The sequence below is a fragment of the Homo sapiens genome, chromosome 5, assembly GCF_000001405.40.
Source record: "Homo sapiens chromosome 5, GRCh38.p14 Primary Assembly".
In the NCBI taxonomy this organism is placed as follows: Eukaryota; Metazoa; Chordata; class Mammalia; order Primates; family Hominidae; genus Homo; species Homo sapiens.
Window position 1 is genome coordinate 71220492 of NC_000005.10, and position 20997 is coordinate 71241488.

Sequence of the window (20997 nt, forward strand, 5' to 3'; positions counted from 1 at the left end):
CAAGACCGCATGACTCAGTACTCACATGCTGTGGGGGCTCCTCTGACAGAGAAGGTAAGAAGGGGATGTAATCCCAGCACTCTGGGAGGCTGAGGCAGGAGGGTGGCTTGTGGCCAGGAGTTCGAGACCAGCCTGGGCAACACAGCAAGACCCCAGCTCTACAAAAAATAGTATCAAGAAAATCAGCACGGCACAGTGGCTCATGCCTGTAATCCCAGCACATTGGGAGGCCAAGGTGGGAGGATCACTTGAGCCCAGGAGTTTGAGACCAGCCTGGGCAACGTCGTAGGACTCCATTTCTACAAAACAAAACAAAAAGCCTACAACGGGAAGAGCTGCCTCTCGGGGCTGAGAACATCCAACTGCACCAATTTAGATCCTGAAATTACCCTGCCCCACAAGCAAAAAACATGGTCACAAAGTGGCCCAAAGGAGGCAGGCCTGTGATTGCACACTGACGCTCACGACGTGTGCAGCTGGGAAGGGCTGTGAGAGGCAGAGCAGCTGCCAACACGCAGTCCTCAGCCAAAACCCAGGGCCCCCGCCACTGGAACTGACTCCTCTCCAGGCAGCACTCCCAGCACTGGGCATCCCCTCACCTTGCCCTGGAGAAGCCCTCCCACCCAAGGGGCCAATGCAGTCATTCTCGCAGATAATCTTTTTCCGCTTTGTTTGGAAGACAGAGTCTCGCTCTGTTGCCCAGGCTAGAATGGAGTGGCACAATAATGCAACCTCTGCCTCCCACGATCAAGCGCAGGCGTGGTGGCATGTGCCTGTTATCCCAGCTACTTGGGAGGCTGAGGCAGGAGAATTGCTTGAACCTGGGAGGCGGAGGTTGCACTGAGCTGAGACTGTGCCACTGCACTCCAGCCTGGGCAACAGAGCAAGACTCTATCTTAAAAAAATAATAAAAAATAAAAAAGAATGCTAGTATCAGCCAGGCACGGTGGCTCATGCCTGTAATCCCAGCACTTTAGGAGGCTAAGGCAGGAGGATCACTTGAGCTCAAGAGTTTGAGACTGGCCTGGGCAACATAGTGAGATCCCATCTCTACAAAAACATTTAAAATTAGCCGGGCACAGTGGTGTACCCCCGGAGTCCCAGCTACTTGGAAGGCTGAGGCAAGAGGGTTGCTTAGGCCCAGGAATTCAAGGCTGCAGTGAGCTGTGATCACACCACTGCACTCCAGCCAGAGCAACAGAGTAAGACCTTGCCTTCACACACACACACAAAAAAACAAAAAACTCAGGTTCCAACCCTGGAGTTACTAAATCAGGATCTCAGAACGCAGAGATCTGGCATTTCAATAAAACTTCCCCTGGAGATTCTGATCAGCCAGGTTTGGGCCAGATGAACTCTAAGCTCACTTAAACCTTTGACATTTTATGAGTCTATTAAATCGAGTACAAAAAATGCTGAGTCCAAACCGGGCAAACAAATCCCATCTCCCTATGCCCAGCCTCCTTGGATTCAGAAAGCCACACTGCCTGGAGAGTAAGCAGAGAGAGAATTGTCATTAACCCAAAGACCATCTTTGAAAACAGACTGGCCGCGGCTGAGTGCGGTGGCACACGCCTGTAACCCCAGCCCTTTGGAAGGCCGAGGCAGGAGGATCACTTGAGCCCAGGAGTTCGAGACCAGCCTGGGCAACATGGCAAGACCCTGTCTCTATCTTTCTAAGTAAAACAAAATAAAAAGCTCAGACTGGCAGCACATGGTTCTTTCCAGCTGTTCCCATGAGCAGGCTTCAGGACAAGCCCAGGCAAAGGCAGGGAGAAATGGGGTGGGGACCCCCAGGCTCACCCCCTTGTCTGCTGCGTAGGTGGAGTTGGTCCCAAAGGTCACAGGCTGGGAGGGGTCCAAGGCTTTGGTGTGAGCAATCACCATCCTGTCCACAAAAGAGAGAAGACACAGGTTCCGTCAGTCCGGGAAAGGCTCAGACACCCTCCCATCCTCTCTGTCCCATCTTCCCCTGCCAGAACACAACTGGTGGCCAGGCACGATGGCTCACGCCTGTAATCCCAGCACTTCAGGAGGCTGAGGCAGGCAGATCACTGAGGTCAGGGGTTCAAGAACAGCCTGGCCAACATGGCAAAACCCCATTTCTACTAAATATACAAAAATTAGCCAGGCTTAGTGGCACGCATCTGTAACTCCAGCTACTCGGGAGGCTGAGGCACAAGAATTGCTTGAACCCGGGAGGTGGAGGTTGCAGTGAGCCGAAATCACGCTACTGCACTCCAGCCTGGGCCACAGAGCAAGACCCTGCCCCAAAACAAACAAACAAACAAACAAACAAACAAACAAACAAAAAGAAAGAAAGAAAAGAAAAAAAAAAAAAAAAAAACAAAGCACAGAGCCGCTGCTTTCTTCCCTAACTTGAGATGTATTTTACATAAGGGCACGTTCCTCTAGTCCTAGACCGAGCTCTCTAACAACACTCTTTCTCCCCCACCCCTGAATCCAACTCCCCCAGAGGCGTAGCCACCCTGCCGGGTACACAGAGCTGAGGTCACTGGACTGAACACTGCCAGAAATGAGGTTCACTTCCTGAAATAGCTCTTGAACACAGGAGTGAATGGGCTGTGGATTCAGGTGGAATATTTATTAATGCATCAAGCAAACAGGTAGTGCGAGGTGGGAGGTAGGCATGAGGCTGGGTGCTAGGTGCTCAGTAATGACTCAAATCTAAGTCCACAGGTCCTGGGCAGTGGGAGTGGAGATGCATGCACAGAAAAACGGTGCAAGTGCCAGGCGAGGTGGCTCAAGCCTAGAACCCCAGCACTTTGGGAGGCTTACTTGAGACCAGGCGCTTGAGACCAGCCTGGACAACATAGCAAGACCTTGTTTCTACAACAAATTTAAAAATTAGGGCCGGGCATGGTGGCTCAAGCCTGTGAGCACTTTGGGAGGCCAAGGCAGGTGGATCACGAGCTCAAGAGTTCGAGACCAGCCTGGCCAACATGGTGAAACCCCATCTCAACAAAAAATAAAGAAGAAAACTAGCTGGGCATGGTGGCGTGAGCCTGTAATCCCAGCTACTCGGGAGGGTGAGGCAGGAGAACTGTTTGTACCCAGGAGGTAGAGGATGCAGTGAGCCAAGATCGCAACACTGCTCTCCAGCCTGGGAGACAGAGCAAGACTCTGACTCGTGGGGAAAAAAAAATATTAAAATTTAGCCTGGCAAGGCAGCGCACGTCTGTGGTCCCAGCTATTTGGGAGGCTGAGTGGGGAGGATCGCTTAAGCCCAGGAGGTCGAGATGGCAACGAGCTATGATTGCACCACTGCACTCCAGCCTGGGCAACAGAGTGAGACCCTGACTCTGAAAAACAAACAATGAAAGAAATGTTGCGAATGGAAATGACAAGTGGTGGCAGGAATTGGGCACTCTATGAGACAACAGACACATCCCCGATTGGAGAGTCAGGGACAGGCTCTTAGAAGAAATGGCCTTTATGCTGAGTCAAGTTAACCAGGAGGGATGAAGGGAAGAGGCTCCCAACAGAGGGACCAGTCCGTGCTCAGAGCTCCCAGCATCTGCCCAAGGCCTCCACAGAACAGACTGTTGTGTTTTTGTTTTGTTTTGTTTTGTTGAGATACAGAGTCTCATTCTGTAGCCCAGGCTGGAATGCAGTGGCATTATCTCAGCTCATTGCAATCTCTGCCTCCTGGTTCACCTGAGGCGATTCTCCTGCCTCAGCCTACCTGGTAGCTGGGATTACAGACGTCCACCACCATGCCCAGCTAATTTTTGTATTTTTAGTAGAGACAGGATTCACTACCTGTTGACCAGGCTGGTCTCGAACTCCTGACCTCGGGTGATCCACCCACCTCAGCCTCCCAAACTGCTGGGATTACAGGCGTGACCCACCGCATCCGGCCTAGACCGTTGTTGAAGCTGGTTTTCTTCTTCTTTCCTCAGTTCTTTTCTTTTACATCTTCCCCCCATCATTGCTCTGCCCATCCGAAGGCTGTGGCTGGCACAGGACAGAATAGAACCTCCTAGCCTCAAGTTCCAAACCCACACTCTCCAATAGCCAGGCTCTCAGATGGGAAGCTTCAAAGCCTTGTGACAGCCTGGCTGAACCTCTCCAGCCTGGGCCCTCCCTCCATTTCCTGCCCCGGAAACAGGCATCTCCTCTGGCCACCTCCCAAAGCCTGTCTGGAAGCCTCAGGCACCCGCTCCTGGAAGCCTGTACGATTCACAACAAACGGCCTGTCCACCCAGTCGTGCTGAGCACACCCCTAATCCCCCGAGCTCTGAATTGTCCTTTGCCCAGGCTAGGACAACATCTCAGAGCCTTCTGCCTGCTGCAGACTCGGCTCAGCCCAAATCACTCCATGAAATTGGGGTGTGGCATCTGCCTCAAGGAGCATTTCTACAACCTCTGCTGCCTCTACCGCAAATGAAACTGGCTCTCACCCACTGGCTCTCGGTGACGGGCACAGTGCGGAGCCCCACAGGGAGTGTGTAGAAGTCAAAGGCCCCAGTGACTTCTGTGCAGTCAGCCGCACCTACGACAGCCAAAGCGCCAGGTGTGAGCGCCCCGACAGCCTGAGCCCCATCTGGCCTGCCCTACAGCAGGAAGACCCCTCGTGCATGCACCCCAGAAGTCGCCACTGGGCCTGCAGAGAAGCAGCAATCAGAGGCTCTGCCCTTCACTGGCTGACCCTGGGACCTGCCCTTCAAAATCAGGCCTTCTCCTTGACCAGACGAGGTGGCTCATGCCTGGAATCCCTACACCTTGGGAGGCTAAGGCAGGAGGATCACCTGAGTCCAGGAGTTCAAGACCAGCCTGGGCAACCTAGTAAGACCCCAACTCTATAAAAAGGAGTTTTTTTTTTTGAGACAGTCTCACTCTGTCACCCAGGATAGAGTGCTGCGGCATGATCTCAATTCACCGCGGCCCCTGCCTCCTGGGTTCAAGCAATTCCCCTGCCTCAGCCTCCCGAGTAGCTGGGATTACAGACGTGCACCATCATGCCCTGCAAATTTTCATATTTTAGTAGAGACGGGGTTTCACCATGTTGGCCAGGCTGGTCTCCAACTCCTGGCCTAAAGTGATCTGCCCGCGTCAGCCTCCCGAAGTGCTGGGATTACAGGTGTGAGCCACCATGCCCGGCCTACAAAAAAAATTTTTTTAATTAGCCAGGCATGGTGGCATGTGCCTGTAGTCCCAGCTACTCAGGAGGCCAAGGTAGGAGGATTGCAGCTCAAAGCTGCAGTGAGCTGTGATCAGGCCATTGCATTCCAGCCTGGGTGACAGAGTGAGACCATCACAAAAACAAACAAACAAACAAACAAACAAATAAATAAATAAATAAATAATCTGGGCCTCCCACCAAGGGTGGGAAACATCAGAAAGCTCAGAGGACCACACCTGCCCGTTCACCTGTCCTGGGCTCCTGCTGAAGCCAGGGCTACCAGATGGGGGCAAAAGACCTCCCTTACGCAAGTCCCAAACCACCATTACCTCCCACGAGTACAGGTAGGCGGGGTGTTCGTGCATCAGGTACGGCCACCAGAGGTTGGCACCCAGCACCTTCAGCTGGCCCTGGGTCCCAGCCTGGTTGTCCACGACTTTGTTTTCTGCATTCAAAAGACACACTTCCAACTTGAACTGGTTACTGCACTTGACGGAGATCTGGTAATTCACCAGCCCTGCAGGAGGCAAGAGAGACCAGGGCTTAGGGAGGGACATGACCTGGGTCACACAAACGGGAAGGCCCCACAATGACCACTCCCAGGCACTCTCATTTGCTTCTGTTGCTTTTTTTTTTTTTTTTTTTGAGATAGAATCTCGCTCTGTCACCCAGGCTGGAGTGCAGTGGCATGATCTGGACTCACTGAAACCTCTGCCTCCCAGGTTCAAGTGATTCTCCTGCCTCAGCCTCTGGAATAGCTGGGATTACAGGCACCTGCCACCACATCCAGCTAATTTTTGTATTGTTAGTAGAGACGGGGTTTCACCACATTAGCCAGGATGGTCTTGATCTCCTGACCTCGTGATCCGCCTGCCTCGGCCTCCCAAAGTGCTGGGATTACAGGCTTGAGCCACCGTGCCCGGCCCTGAACCAATGCGCCCAGCCCGCTTTTAATTTAATTTTTTAATTTTTTTTTTTTTTTTTTTTTTTTTTTTGAGATGGAGTCTCACTGTCACCCAGGCTGGAGTGTAGTGCTGCGATCCTGACTCGCTGCAACCTCCACCTCTGGAGTTCAGGTGATTCTCCTGCCTCAGCCTTCCGAGTACCTGGGAATACAGGAATGCACCACCATGCCCGGCGAATTTTTCTATTTTCAGTAGAGACGGAGTTTTGCCATGTTGGCCAGGCTGGTCTCGAACTCCTGAACTCAGGTGATCCACCCGCCTCAGTCTCCCAATAGATTACATATATTATTAATGAATTGCTTCCTTTAACACCCTATTCATTGAATTTTCCAGTAAACCACAATTACTAATTACTCCTGAAATCAGAAAAGAGGTTAAAAAGATTTTATAACAGTATCCTATGAAATCTACTACTTTCAAGTAATAGTAGTTGAATTACCAAAACCCGTCACTCAAGCCAATGACTACAATTAAGATATGAGTAACATTTCCTAGACAAATAAAGTCAATTAATTATATTTGCATCTGGGAAATAGAGAAAGTACATATAAGCCATGATTTTGAAGTCAAAAGAGAGAGAATATTTGCCAAGGAGGGGTGAGTTATAGTATGTAATTATAACATACAGAAGCTTTTTGTATGCTGGTAACTAATTTTAATTTCCTACATTTTTATGTAGATTTCTGCTATTCTTGTCCTATTTTCCTAATCATCTTTCTATATGAATGACTACATAATTCTGAGAATACCAAAAGAGACAGACACAGAACCAATCGGATTCCTTTCTTCTTGAAGCTTCTGCACAGCAAAAGAAACTATCAACAGAGTGAACAGACAACCTACAGAATGGGAGAAAATTTTTGCAACAATGCATGTGACAAAGATCTAATGTCCAACACTGATAAGGAACTTAAACAAATTTACAAGAAAAAAAAAAAATCTCATTAGAAAGTGGGCACAGGACATAAACAGACACTTCAAAAGAAGACACACATGCGGCCAACAAGCATATGAGAAAAAGCTCAATATCACTGATCATTAGAGAAATGCAAATCAAAACCACAATGGCATACCATCTCACACCAGTCAGTATGGTTATTATTAAGAAGTCAACGCCGGGCATGGTGGCTCACGCCTATAATCCCAGCACTTCAGGAGGCCAAGGCAGGCAGATCGCATGAGGTCAGGAGTTCCAGACCAGCCTGGACAACCTGGCGAAACCCCGTCTCTACTAAAAATACAAAAATTAGCCCAGCGTGGTGGCGGGTGCCTGTAATCCCAGCTACTCAGGATGCTGAGGCAGGAGAATCGCCTGAACCCGGGAGGCAGAGGTTGTAGTGAGCCGAGATCATACCACTGCACTCTCCAGCTTAGGTGACAGAGCGAGACTCTGTCTCAAAAAAAAAAAAAAAATATTTGAATTTTGTTTAAATCGCTAACACATACTGGGCATTTAATAACAAAAAAAAAGGACATGAGATTGTGATCCTTATGAAGGTTTGAGAGGCATTTCACTAGGGTTCAACATACAGCAGTCTGAAACATACTGTAATAATTTAATCCAATGGCTCATCTACAGCACCTAAAAAGATTACAGCAGATTCTCATTATTCAGTGTAGTTACGGTCTAGAAAGTTCCATGAACAAATAAAAAGTTAGGTTTCAGCAAGCTACTGGTCACACTTTTGTAAGCTTACCAACACCTACTTTTGTTGTATGTGTGCTTATTTAATATATATTGTTGGCCAGGCACAGTGGCTAACGCCTGTAATCCCAGCACTTTGGGAAGCCAAGGCGGGCAGATCATTTGAGGTCTGGAGTTCGAGACCAGCCTGGCCAACGTGGTGAAACCCCGTCTCTACTAAAACTACAAAAAAAAAAAAAAAAAAATTAGCCAGGCATGGTGGCGCATGCCTGTAGTCTTAGCTACTTGGGAGGCGAAGGCAGGGGAATCGCTTGAACCCAGGAGGCAGAGGTTGCAGTGAGCCAAGACTGCACCACTGCACTCCAGCCTGAGCAACAGAGTGAGACTCTATCTCAAAAAAAAAAATAATAATAATTAATTAAATGAAGAATAAATAAATAATATACATTGTTCATTCATTAACATTGAACTCACAGCCAACGGCACTACAGCACTCACGCCTGAATGGAGTTTATTTAATGCATGTATTTTCTCTGTAAGACACATCACAGACTTCTTGGACTTGTGAATGCTAAGCAGCACTTCAGCACTATGCTTGGGGGTTAATTTAAATGGCAAAACAACCAACAAACAGTACAAAAACAGGAAAAGCATGGCATTAAATAGACCACAAAAAGGATACCTGACTATTGTATGAGAGCTGAAAAAGAAGGCAGAATATCATCCTGTTCAAACTCAAATTCTTTGACACTCTGCGCAAACACATGACTATGAAAGTGCTGTGAGTACTGATTTGGGGGTTACAAAAAATAGTAGGTGAGTTCACAAATACAAAAGCTGAAAACAAGGAGGATCGACTGTATTTTCGTAGACAATCTAATCTCAGAAGATTTCAGTTCAGACAAAAATCATGATAATTACTGTATTACAAAAGGGCACTAGATAGGGGGGAAAGAGTAAAAATCACAATTAAAACAAAGGTTCAAAATTCTGCAGCAACCATATCCAGTTACACTTTAATATGTTTGCGGCAGACTACATTATTGTTCCCAACTCATCACCCCTCCCTATATCTAAAACCTTTCCCCAAGACAATGCAGTTCCTCCTGCTAGAGATCAGGTATATTTATCTATACTATCAATGTTAGCCATGGACAAGGTATGTGCTTTGGCTGACTGAATGTTAGTGGACATGAGAGAAGCAATGGCTTAAAATGTACTTCCAGAACTGGAGTTTCCTTGTGATTCTATCACTGTGACAGAAACACATTCTCAGGTAGTCCACTGATCCAAGGGGGAACAAACACACAGAAAACATACCTAGACTCTATCTGCAGCTTGCAGCCTCACCAAGCCAACAACAGTCAACTCACAGATATGTTAGCAAAAATAAATGTTTTTCGTACCTTAAGTTTTATATAATTATTGACCTGCAGTTAACTGATATACAATATACATTAATCTTAAAATATCAGTATCCCATTAAAAATATTTACATTAAAAACTGAGACCACTTTCTTTCCTCCTTTTTTTTTTTTTTTTTTTAAATTAAGAGACAGGGTGTCTCAATGTTGCCCAAGCTGGAGTTCGGTGGCTAGTGGCTATTCACAAGAACGATCATCGCACACTACCTCAAACTCCTGGGATCAAGCAATCCTCCTGCCTCAGCTTTCCAAGTCGCTGGGACTATAAGTGTGTACCACAGCATGTCAGCTCTCTCTCTCCTTCTTGACCTAAAGCCTAGCATAAAATTAGCTAAGTAGAATGTTTCCAAAGATGGCTGCATCAGTATCTCCCATCCCACATAATTTCTGTTTGATTTTGCCATTCACCCATAAAATGGTGGGATCTACCTCCCCTCCTTGCAAATTTGAGCTGGCCCTCTGATCCTGTCTAAGATCTGAAGCCAGATATTAAGGTACTTCATTAATTTCCATGTTTGTCCTCTATGCAACCTAGCAATCAAGCAAGAAGTCAAAACATACTGACATAGTTTGGATGGGTCCCCACCCAAATCTCACCTTGCATTGTAATAATTCCCACGTGTCAAGGGTGGGGCCGGGTGCAGATAACTGAATCATGGGGATGGTTCCCCCCATACTGTTCTCGCGGTAGTGACTAAGTCTCATGAGATCTGATGGTTTTATAAATGGGAGCTCCCCTGCACATGCTCTCTCCTGCCTGCCACTATGTGAGACATGCTTTTGCACCTCCTTGCCTTCCACCATGATTGTGAGGCCTCCCCAGCCATGCAGAACTGTGAGTCAATTCAACCTCTTTCCTTTATAAATTACCCAGTCTCAGGTATGTCTTTATTTGCAGTGTGAGAACAGACTAATACAATAAGTTGATACCAGTAGAGTGGGGTGCTGCTGTAAAGATACCCGAAAATGTGGAAGCAACTTTGGAAATGGGTAACAGGGAGAGGCTGGAACAGTTTGGAAGGCTCAGAAGAGGATAGGAAAATGTGGGAAAGTTTGGAACTTCCTCGAGACTTGTTGAATGGCTTTGACCAAAATGTTAATAGTGATATGGACAACAAGGTCCAGGCGGAGGTGGTCTCAGAGGGAGATGAGGAATTTGTTGGGAAATGGAGTAAAGTCACTCTTACTATGCAAAGACACTGCAGGCATTGTGCACCTGTATTAGAAACGGGCATCAGATAGGCGGGAAAGAGGGAAAATAAGAATTTTTTTCTAGAGTTCCCTACAGATCTGTGGAACTTTGAACTTGAGAGAGATGATTTAAGGTATCTGACACAAGAAATTTCTAAGCAGCAAAGCATTCGAGAAGAAGCAGAGCATACAATTTCAGAAAATTTGTAGCCTGATGATGCAACAGAAAAGAAAAATCTATTTTCTCAGGAGACTGGGTTGTAGAAATTTGCATAAGTAATGAGGAGCCAAATGTTAATCACCAAGACAATGGGGCAAATGTCTCCAGGGCATGTTAGAGACCCTCACAGCAGACCCTCCCATCGCAGGCCAGGAGGCTTAGAAGGAAAAATGGTTTTGTGGGTCCAGAACCCCCTGCTGTGTGCAGCCTAGGAACTTGAGGCCCTGCATCCCAGCTGCTCCTGCCATAGGTAAAAGGGGCCAAGGTACACCTCAGGCCATGGCTTCAGAGGGTGCAAGTTCCAAGCCTTTCAGGTTCTAGGTGGTGTTAAGCCTGCAGATGCACCGAAGTCAAGAATTAACGTTCATGAACCTCCGCCTACATTTCAGAAGATGTATGAAAATGCCTGGAAATCCAGGCAAAAGTTTGCTGTGGGGGGGAGGGGAGGGGGGGCCCTCATGGATAACCTCTGCTAGGGCAGTGTCAAAGGGAAATATGGGGTTGGAGCTCCCACACAGAGTCCCCACTGGGGTACTGCCAAGCAGAGCTGTGAGAAAAGGGCCACCATCCTCCAGACCCCAGAATGGTAGATCCACTGACAGCTTGCACTGTGTGCCTGGAAAAGCTGCAGACACTCAATGCAGCCAGAAGGGGGGCTGTACCCTGCAAAGCCACAGGGGCGGGGCTGCCCAAGACCCTGGGAACCCACTTCTTGCATCACCTAGATGTGACACATGGAGTCAAAGGAGGTCATTTTGGAGCTTTAAGATTTGCCTGCTGGGTTTTGGACTTGCATGGGGCCTGTAGCTCTTTCGCTTTGGCCAATTTCTCCCATTTGAAACGAGTGTATTTACCCAATGCCTGTATCCCTGTGTATCTAGAAAATAACTAACTTGCTTTTGATTTTACAGGCTCATAGGTGGAAGGGACTTGCCTTGTCTCAGATGAGACTTTGGACTATGGAATTTTGAGTTAATGCTGAAATAAGAGTTTGGGGGACTTAGGGGAAGGCATGATTGCTTTTGAAATATGAGGACATGAGATTTGGGAGGGGCCGGGGAAGAATTATATGGTTTGGCTCTGTCCGCACCCAAATCTCATCTTGAATTGTAACAATTCCCATGTGTCAAGGGTGGGGCCAGGTGGAGATAACTGAATCATGGAGGCAGTTTCCCCCATGCTGTTCTCATGGTAGTGAATAAGTCTCATGAGGTCTGATGGTTTTATAAATGGATGTTCCCCTGCACATGCTCTCTCCTGCCCACCATGTCTGACTAAATTTTGTATTTTTACTAGAGACGGGCTTTCACTATGTTGGCCAGGCTGGCCTCCAACTCCTGATCTCGTGATCCGTCCACCCCGACCTCCCAAAGTGCTAGGATCATAGGCATAAGCCACCACACCCGGCCTCTTTTTTTTCTTTTTCTTTTTTTTATCTGGAGACTGAGTTTTGCACTCGTTGCCCAGGCTGGAGTGCAATGGTGCGATCTCAGCTCACTGCAGTCTCCACCTCAGCAGGAGAGCAGGAATCTTCAGTGATCCACGGGCAAATATGCAGCCATTGTGGGCACCTGTTCCTCCCGCGACCTTTGTGCCCACGTCTCTCCCTCCAGTACCTACTGCACGACCCCCCACGTCCGCCTCCTGCCATTGCCAGCAGGTGCCTTGCGCGGGTACCTGGCTGCGCTTATTCATCCATTATGGTCGCTCTGTCACTGGTGCCATTATGTGCTCACATGCCCACTCCCTCAGGTTTAGAAGTCGCGTTGCCCGGCAACAGAACAATCTGCTGGCTTAGCCTTTGGCCAAGTTGGCAGCTGGACGAGGACGCTCAGAGCCCAGCTCTTGAGAGTTCAAGTATCCGACAGTTCCCCACTGCTCCCAGGAGCGGTTACCCGGGCACTCTGTGCCCCTCATTCCTGTTTGGGCCAAGGCCGAGGACCTGCGAGTAGGGCTCAGTTGCCTGGAGCCCCTTCAGCCCATCCCCCAGTTCACTTTGCTTGTGGGATCTCCCCGTTGCTCCTGCCCCTGGACTGAGTGGCAGGCCATCCTACAAACACCCGGACACTCGACATCACTGGTGTCAAGACAACTCTAAGAAGGTTTCAAGTGATCCTGCAAGACCTGTGTTCCATCCTGGTGATTCTGTCTTCAATTTCACTGCACAGGTACCACAGTAAGCCAGTGCTGTGTGCTCCGAGTTCCAGGGCATCCCCCAGCTCAGCCACTACACTGAGCACAAGGACTCTGTGGGGCCCAGGAGCAGGTAGTCACCCCTTTGGGGTCCACAACACCCGGCTGTCCCCAGACTTGTGTCCAGGGAAGATAGTGTTGAGGGCCCTCAAGGAGAGCGGGGCAGGGATGCCTGAGCAGGACAAGGACCCCAGAGTCCAAGAAAATCCTGATGATCAGAGAACGGTCCCCGAGGTCACCGGGGATGCACGGTCTGCATTTTGGCCCCTGCGGGACAATGGAGGCCCCTCTCCCTTTGTGCCCAGGCCCGGGCCTCTGCAGACAGACCTCCACGCCCAGAGCTCAGAAATCAGATATAACCACACATCCCAGACATCCTGGACGAGCTCGAACACCAAACGAAATGCCATCTCCAGCTCCTACAGCTCCACGGGAGGCTTGCCGGGGCTAAAGCAGAGGAGGGGGCCAGCCTCATCCCGCTGCCAGCTGACCCTCAGTTACTCAAAGACAGTGAGTGAGGACAGGCCTCAGGCTGTCTCTTCGGGTCACACACGGTGTGAAAAGGGGGCAGATACAGCACCAGGGCAGACAATCGCCCCAACGGGTGGCTCCCCCAGATCCCAGGACTCTAGGCCCCGTAGACGCAAGATTCCCCTGCTGCCACGCAGGCGAGGGGAGCCTTTGATGCTGCCACCTCCCTTAGAGCTGGGGTACCGGGTCACGGCTGAAGACCTGCACCTGGAAAAAGAGACGGCATTCCAGCGCATCAACAGTGCACTGCACGTTGAGGACAAGGCCATCCCGGACTGCAGACCCTCACGGCCTTCCCACACTTTGTCCTCACTTGCAACAGGGGCTTCGGGTGGGCCTCCCGTTTCTAAAGCACCCACTATGGATGCACAGCAGGACAGACCCAAGTCCCAAGACTGCCTGGGCCTACTGGCCCCCCTAGCATCTGCTGCAGAGGTCTCCTCTACAGCTCCCGTGTCTGGGAAGAAGCACAGACCACCAGGACCCCTGTTCTCCTCCTCAGATCCCCTTCCTGCCACCTCTTCCCACTCCGGGGACTCAGCCCAGGACACCTCGCTGATTCCTGCCCCCTTCACACCTGCAAGCAGGGATGCCGGCATCAGAAGAATGTTTCGTGTTCGAAATTGTTTGAGGGGTTTGGGTTTATTTTTGTTGGTTTTTTCTTTTTTTTTTTTGCTTACGTGGGCATCCTTCAGCTTTTAATAATCTGAAAAATTCTATTTACCCATTGTCAATGTGTATAAATTAATCTCAGTCAATTTTATACAATAAAAGGTGAACTTTTATCCATCAAACAATAATTTAACAAAAAATGTACCGGAAGAAGAATGTTCATTACAAATATAGGAAACATAAATATTACCAAATATTGGCAAGCACTAAAATGTTCAGAAATATAAGTCTATTACAGTTATAGCTCTCTCAAGCAAAAAAACAGCAGAGAAAAACTTAGTTTTCCTGAGGGGCTATTTATTTACTTAGGGATTTGTTAAAAGGTCAAATGGGGTCACACAGAATACTAAGAAGAGCTGTTCACCCAGGCCTCACTAAGAACTCTTCTTCATGCAGTAGCTATATAGTAATATGACAACTGCTCCTACGACCCACAGAGGAACTACAGCAACTACTCTTTAGCATCTGTTGCTCCCAACTCTGCTTTGCAATTATATGACTCAAGCATTCTGGCTCCGTTAACTATTACTGCTGTTACTCCCAAGTAAATTCCCTCTAAAAAATAAAAATTTTTAAAGCTGTAATTTAAGCTCTCTGCTGCCTCATGACTTCAATTCCATCAGAGTTACGCATTGTTTCCTCTGTACATCTTTGCTCTGCTTCCATTGCTAATTCCCTAGTAAAGTGTTGTATATTCAAAGTTCCAAAGAAACAGAATATCCAAGACATCACCAATCATCCAAAACACAGTGTAGGAGGCCACAGTTAAGAGAAGCAAGACCATTAGCTCTTTTTATAGGCTCGAGAACAACAGGATGCTTTGGTCCTGTATCAGCAGGATGCTTTTTGGGTAGATCCTACTGCCACCCTACTATCGGGTAGATCCTACTGTCACCCTAGCTATGGGCACATGTCAGAGTCCCATGTAATAAAGGAGACAAAAGGAAACCACCACGAGTATAAACTAAGAAAAGTACTCCAAGGTTTCTAAGAATGGAGCTGTATAACTCACTTTGCCCCGTTTGTTACTTCTCCACGGTACTTACCACCACCTATTACATATATTTTGTTTATAGTCAGTCTTCCCCCATTAGAATGAAAGTTCCGTGAGGATAGGACTATACAGTCAGCCCTCAGTATCCATGGGGGACTGGTTTCAGGATCTCCTGAGGGTAACAAAGGATACTCAAGTCCCTGATATAAAATGACATAGTATTTGCACATCACCTTTGCACATCCTCCCATATACTTCATATCAACTCTAGATCACTCATAATATCCGATGTAAATGTCATGCAAATAGTTATTGTACTATATTGTGTAAGGAATAAGGACAAGAAAAAAGTCTGTACATGTTCAGTACAGACGCAATTTTTTTTTCCAATATTTCCAATCCTTGGTTGCCTTAACGGATGTAGAACCCAGGAATAAGTTCTGGTGTCCTATTGCATAGTAGGATGAGTATAGTTAACAATAACATATTATATATTTGAAAATAGCCAGAAGAGTAGATTTTGAATTTTCTCCCTACAGAAAAATCATTATGCAAATTACCCTGATTTGATCATTACACATTGAGTACATGTATTAAAACATCACATTCTACCCCATATATATGTACAGTTATTATGTGTCCATAAAAATTTAATGTCAATGTGTGAAATAAAATGAAAAAATAAAAATTTTTAAAGCTGTAATTATCTCCATCTGGTAGGAATATATACAATCTGAAATAAAAAATATATTTGTAATTGTTAGGACAAAATAGATTATACATTAAGTCTGCAAATTATAAATTATAAAATTCTCACAGAACCTGAAAAATTATTGATACTGTTAAATATTTAAAAAGCTGTCCTTGGAGAGAAAGAAACCTATCAGATTTACATCAACAAGTGTAATATGTCAGCCTATTACCATCTGCTACAGACTGCATGTTTGTGTTCCCTCAAAATTCATATGATAGGCCCGGCGCGGTGGCTCATGCCTGTAATCCCAGCACTTTGGGAGGCCGAGGCGGGTGGATCATGAGGTCAGGAGATCGAGATCATCCTGGCTAACATGGTAAAACCCCGTCTCTACTGAAAATACAAAAAATTAGCCGGGCGCAGTGGCGGGCGCCTTAGTCCCAGCTACTGAGGAGGCTGACGCAGGAGAATGGCGTGAACCCAGGAGGCGGAGCTTGTAGAGAGCCGAGATTGTGCCACTGCACTCCAGCCTGGGTGACAGACAGAGCGAGACTCTGTCTCAAAAAAAAAAAAAAAAAAAAAAAAAAAATTCATATGATAAAGCCCTAACCCCCAAGGTGAGGATACTGGGAGGCGTGGCCTTTAGGAGAGAATTAGGTTTAGATGAGGTCATGAGAATAGAGCCCCTATGGTGGCATTACTTCCTTTATAAGAAGAGACACTAGAGCTGCTTTTCTCCCTACCATGTGAGGATACCGAGAGAAGATGGCCATTTCCAATCTAGGAAGCAGGCCCTCTTTAAGAAACGTAATTTGCCAACACTTTGATCTTGCACTTCCAGTCTGCAGAACTGTGAGAAATATCTGTTTTTTTTTGTTTGTTTGTTTTTGTTTTTTTTGAGACAGAGTCTCATTCTGTCATCCAGGCTGGAGTACAGTGGTGCGATCATGGCTCACTGCAACCTCCGCCTCCCAGGTTCAAGCAATTCTCCCACCTCAGCCTCCCAAGTAGCTCAGACTACAGGCGTGCACCACCACGCCCAGCTAATTTTCGTAGAGACAAGGTTTTGCCATGCTGCCCAGGCTAGTCTCAAACTCCTGAGCTCAAGTTATCCACCTGCCTCGGCCTCCCAAAGTGTTAGGAATACAGGCATAAGCCACCACGCCTGGTCAAAATATCTACTGTTTAAGCTACCTAATTTATGGTATTCTGTTTTAGCAGCTGAAGCAGACTAAGATACCATCCTTATAAGCTACAGACCAGCACTATCCAATAGAACTTTATATGACGAGCAAATGTTTTATATCTGTGCTATCCCTTATGTTAGCCACTAGCCACATGTATCCATCAAGTATTTGAAATATGGCTAGTGCAACTAAAGAACTTAATTTTTAATTTTCTTTTTTTTTTTGAGATGGAGTCTCGCTCTGTCCCCCAGGCTGGAGTGCAGTGGCGCCATCTCGGCTCACTGCAAACTCTGCCTCCCAGGTTCACGCCATTCTCCTGCCTCAGCCTCCTGAGTAGCTGGGACTGCAGGCGCCCGCCACCACGCCCGGCTAATTTTTTGTATTTTTAATAGAGATGGGGGTTCACCGTCTTAGTAAGGATGGTCTCGATCTCCTGACCTAATGATCTGCCCGCCTCGGCCTCCCAAAGTGCTGGGATTACCGGCGTGACCCACCACGCCCGGCCAATTTTTATTTTATCTTATTTAAATAACCACATGTGGCTAGTGGCTAATGTATTGAACACTACAGCTGTAGACAATACGAAATAAATATAAAGCAGTCTCCACTTTGGAAAAACAGAAGACTCTTACTGCCTCATAATATAGATGAAAAATGAAATACTAAGATAAGTAAAACGTTCTTTAAAGAACAAAAACAAAAGAAAACCTAATGAAAGCTATAAAAGTCCATGGGATAATAATGCTACCAGTACTAAGGAAGTACAGCCCCTAAGAGTGATTTGCAGTCACAAATATAAAAATGACTATTCAAGTGAACTCCTAAGGTGAAAATTTCTTATTCACCATGCTCCAAAATGGTCTGTAATATTCTTCAGAGATGGCATGGTAAAGTACGATAAAAGGGTAATATTAACAGTATGCTGTCACAGGTGCCATTCTCTTAAAAAAGAAATCCAAAAATAAATATAAATGGAAAGCAAATAATTAATGGAGTTTTGACGGTCAATCAATGGTAAATATTATTGGCATTAGATTTTTCTATTAATTATAGTTTACCTATGATCATGTATTTTTCCATTTAAAAATTACCCTAAAACTTAATGGCTTAAAATAACAAATATGTATGACACAATTCATAGAAGTCAGGGAAATGATGGATTTGGGTAGGTGGTTCTGACTCAAAGTCTCTCATGAGTAAAGGTTGCTGTCATGTTGTTGACCCAGGCAGCATCCCCTGAAGCCTTTAACTTGTGTTGGAAGGTCCGTGTCTTAGTTTGTTTGCACTGTCGCTACAGAATACCATAGACAGGGTAGCTTATAAACAACAGAAACGTTTCTAATGGTACCGGAGGCTGGATGGTGCAAAATCAAGGTGCTTGCAGATTTGGTGTCTGGTCAGAGCCCATTTTTTAGTTCATAGTTTACTGTCCTCTAGCTCACATGGCAGAAGGGGCAAGGACGCTTTTTGGGGTCTCTTTTATAAGGGCACTAATCCCCGGCTGGGCAAGGTGGCTCACATCTGTAATCCCAGTACTTTGGGAGGCTGAGGCAGGCAGATCACGAGGTCAGGAGTTCCAGACCAGCCTGGCCAGTATGGTGAAACCCCGTCTCTACTAAAAATACAAAAATTAGCCAGGTGTGGTGGTGCGTACCTGTAGTCTCAGCTACTCAGCTACTCAGGAGGCTGAGGCAGAAGAAACACTTGAACCCAGGAGGCAGACGTTGCAGTGAGCTGACATGGCACCACTGCACTCCAGCCTGGGTAACAGAGCAAAACTCTGTCTCAAAAATAAATAAATAAATAAATAAAAATAAAAATAAAAACAAAAAATAATAATCAAGGCACTAATCCCCAACATGAAGACAGACTATCATCTACCAAAAGCTCCACCTCCTACTATCATTACACTGGGGGTTAGGATTTCACAAATTCAGTGCATCATAGTCTGCTTCTAGAATGTTTAATCATTTGGCTGGATATCAGATAGGATGCCTCGGTTCTTCATGTGAGCTTTCTAGAAAAGATAGTTTGGAATTATTTGCATGGTGGCTGGGCTCGTAAAGAGTTGAAGGAGAGAAAGAGAGAGAAACACCAGTAAGGAGCAAATTAGTTCACTCAAAATTAAAACCCTAGCCTTTGTGACCTTGTCTCACAAGGTAACATTCCAATCCTGCGGTGTTTTATTTCTTAGATGGGAGTCACTCAGCTTAGCCTGCCTTCAAGGGGAGGAGTATGAAGCTCCACTTCTTAAACTGAGAAGAATCAACAAATATGTAGATATATATATTTTTAATAGTATTACAGCTCATGAACCCATTTAAACCCATTTTAGAACTTTAAAGAAATATTTTAAAACGGAATTTTCAATTAAGCAGAAGAAATTGCCAGCTGTGGAACAGTGAACTTTATCGCTGAAATCACACACATATATACACACACACAGTGCAAACTCATACATGATCAAATCTATAATCTTATTACACAAAGTTTTGTGAGAGGAAAAATGCTTGACTTTTCAAAAGGGCTCATTTATTAAAAATAAAATGACCATTGTGTTCATTTTAGCTGCAACCTTTAAGCAATCAATGACTATATACTTGCTGTAATCATCCTTTAAAATTAGAATTATTGAAAAGCTTTATCACTGATGAATGAAAGAAAGTAATATTGATTTGTGGCCAAGAGAGATAATCTCAGGCAATAAACAGGTGCAGTCTTTGAAGGAATCATTTTATTTTATTACTTTCTGACATTATTGAAGCCAATTTTAAATAAATTCATCATGTTTTTAAATTTAATCACGTATTATTTTATCATACATTAGGTAAAGTTTCAATCTAAGTAACTCCTGGATAAAAAATGAAGTATATCAATTTACAATTACAAATACCCAAATTGTACAGGCATGCATTTTTCAATGACATTTATAAACTGTGTTTTGTTGTTTGTGCCTTGTGTTTGTTTTATTAATCAAATTAATTTATACAGATATATGTATGGAAATGAGACAGATATAACCAGTTCTCTATAAGTAAGCATTATTTAATGGAGTCTTTCCTTTCACTAATGATCATCAGGACAGCTAGGGAAGTGAGTTGAAATTTTCAGGCCATTAGGTTAATAGTTCTAGTAATTCTAGTAATGTTTCGACAGTCATAATATAAATGATACTATGTGGCTTGAATTAATGCATTTTCTTATGTAACAAATAATAAGACAATTTTTAAAAGTGGTAATTACTATTTTTAAATATGACAATTAAAAATAATGAAAGAAAAGAGGTTGTACATTGAGTAGCCATAACATTATCTTTAAACATATTTATTCTTCATTTCCTAACTTTTCCCACCTTTTGGCTAAATCGTATGTTCTTTCTCTAACCTCACTTCTGTTTTATTACTCTCTGGGAAAGATTTTTATATAAAACGTCTAAGCAATCAAACCTAACACAGGATGAATTTCTACACATTACTATACCCTCTGGTCACTATTTTTTTCTTCTCTTTATTGCCCATTTCCCTGTTCTTGAAACATTCCAATTATTTGCCTTCCATGACATTCTACTCTTACTTTTACTTTTCTGTCTCTGATTACTCATTTCCAGTTCCTTTTGTCATCTCCTTGTCTTCCTACACCTGCCAATTAAATTTGAATTTCCTCTGCATTTCATCTTATGTCTCCTTTTCTTCTGCCAAATTCTCTCCTTAGACAAATACAGTCATTCCCATGGTTTTATATCCCACTTATATTCAGGGGCTCTAGAATGTATAGCGCCAGGCCAAATCTATCTTAAGAACTTACTTTACTTAACCAATTACATCTGCATCTGCTCAGGATCATGTAACCCACATCAGCATTTGGCTCTTTTGTAGACCCATTTTTTCTTTTCCTGGAAGTCTATTTTGACACCTACTTTCTGTCACTACCCACGTTTTAGCATTTAGCCTTGTCAATTTACTCTCATCCATATGTAACTCTATCCATTTTCTTCTCTCTATTATGAACAGCAGTTTGAGCCATCATGACCAATTTTGCAGTATCCCTTCTTAAATCAGCCTCCTGTTTCGCATTGGACATTTTCACCCCCCAGCAATTCCACCGATTTCATTCTCGGAAAAATATAAATGAAGAG

General features: G+C 45.4%; 1 protein-coding gene and 2 pseudogenes across 2 annotated transcripts in view, besides 1 other annotated feature; 1 reads left to right on the forward strand and 2 right to left on the reverse strand.

The window, feature by feature from the left end:
• The window catches only part of GUSBP17 (GUSB pseudogene 17), a 39070-nt pseudogene that overhangs the window by 266 nt on the left and 17807 nt on the right, over positions 1-20997 (reverse strand). Inside the window, exons 2-3 of the transcript NR_033968.1 lie at positions 5476-5663; positions 1804-1888 (exon numbers count right to left, since the gene is read on the reverse strand). The product of NR_033968.1 is annotated as a GUSB pseudogene 17 (transcript). The remainder of the gene's footprint in view (positions 1-1803; positions 1889-5475; positions 5664-20997) is intronic.
• Positions 2115-2614: an enhancer, noted in NCBI's record as "H3K27ac hESC enhancer chr5:70518433-70518932 (GRCh37/hg19 assembly coordinates)". NCBI's record gives its function as "activates a minimal SCP1, AML or CMV promoter by ChIP-STARR-seq in primed H9 embryonic stem cells {active_cell/tissue: H9 hESC(primed)}" and the evidence as "EXISTENCE:reporter gene assay evidence [ECO:0000049][PMID:30033119]".
• On the reverse strand, positions 8214-15999 carry LOC124900993 (uncharacterized). Its single transcript, XM_047417972.1, has one exon. It carries the CDS (start codon positions 13912-13914, stop codon positions 13330-13332), a length of 585 nt encoding a protein of 194 aa, XP_047273928.1. The 5' UTR covers positions 13915-15999; the 3' UTR covers positions 8214-13329.
• Positions 12893-13582, forward strand: LOC728575 (POM121 membrane glycoprotein (rat) pseudogene; annotated as a pseudogene).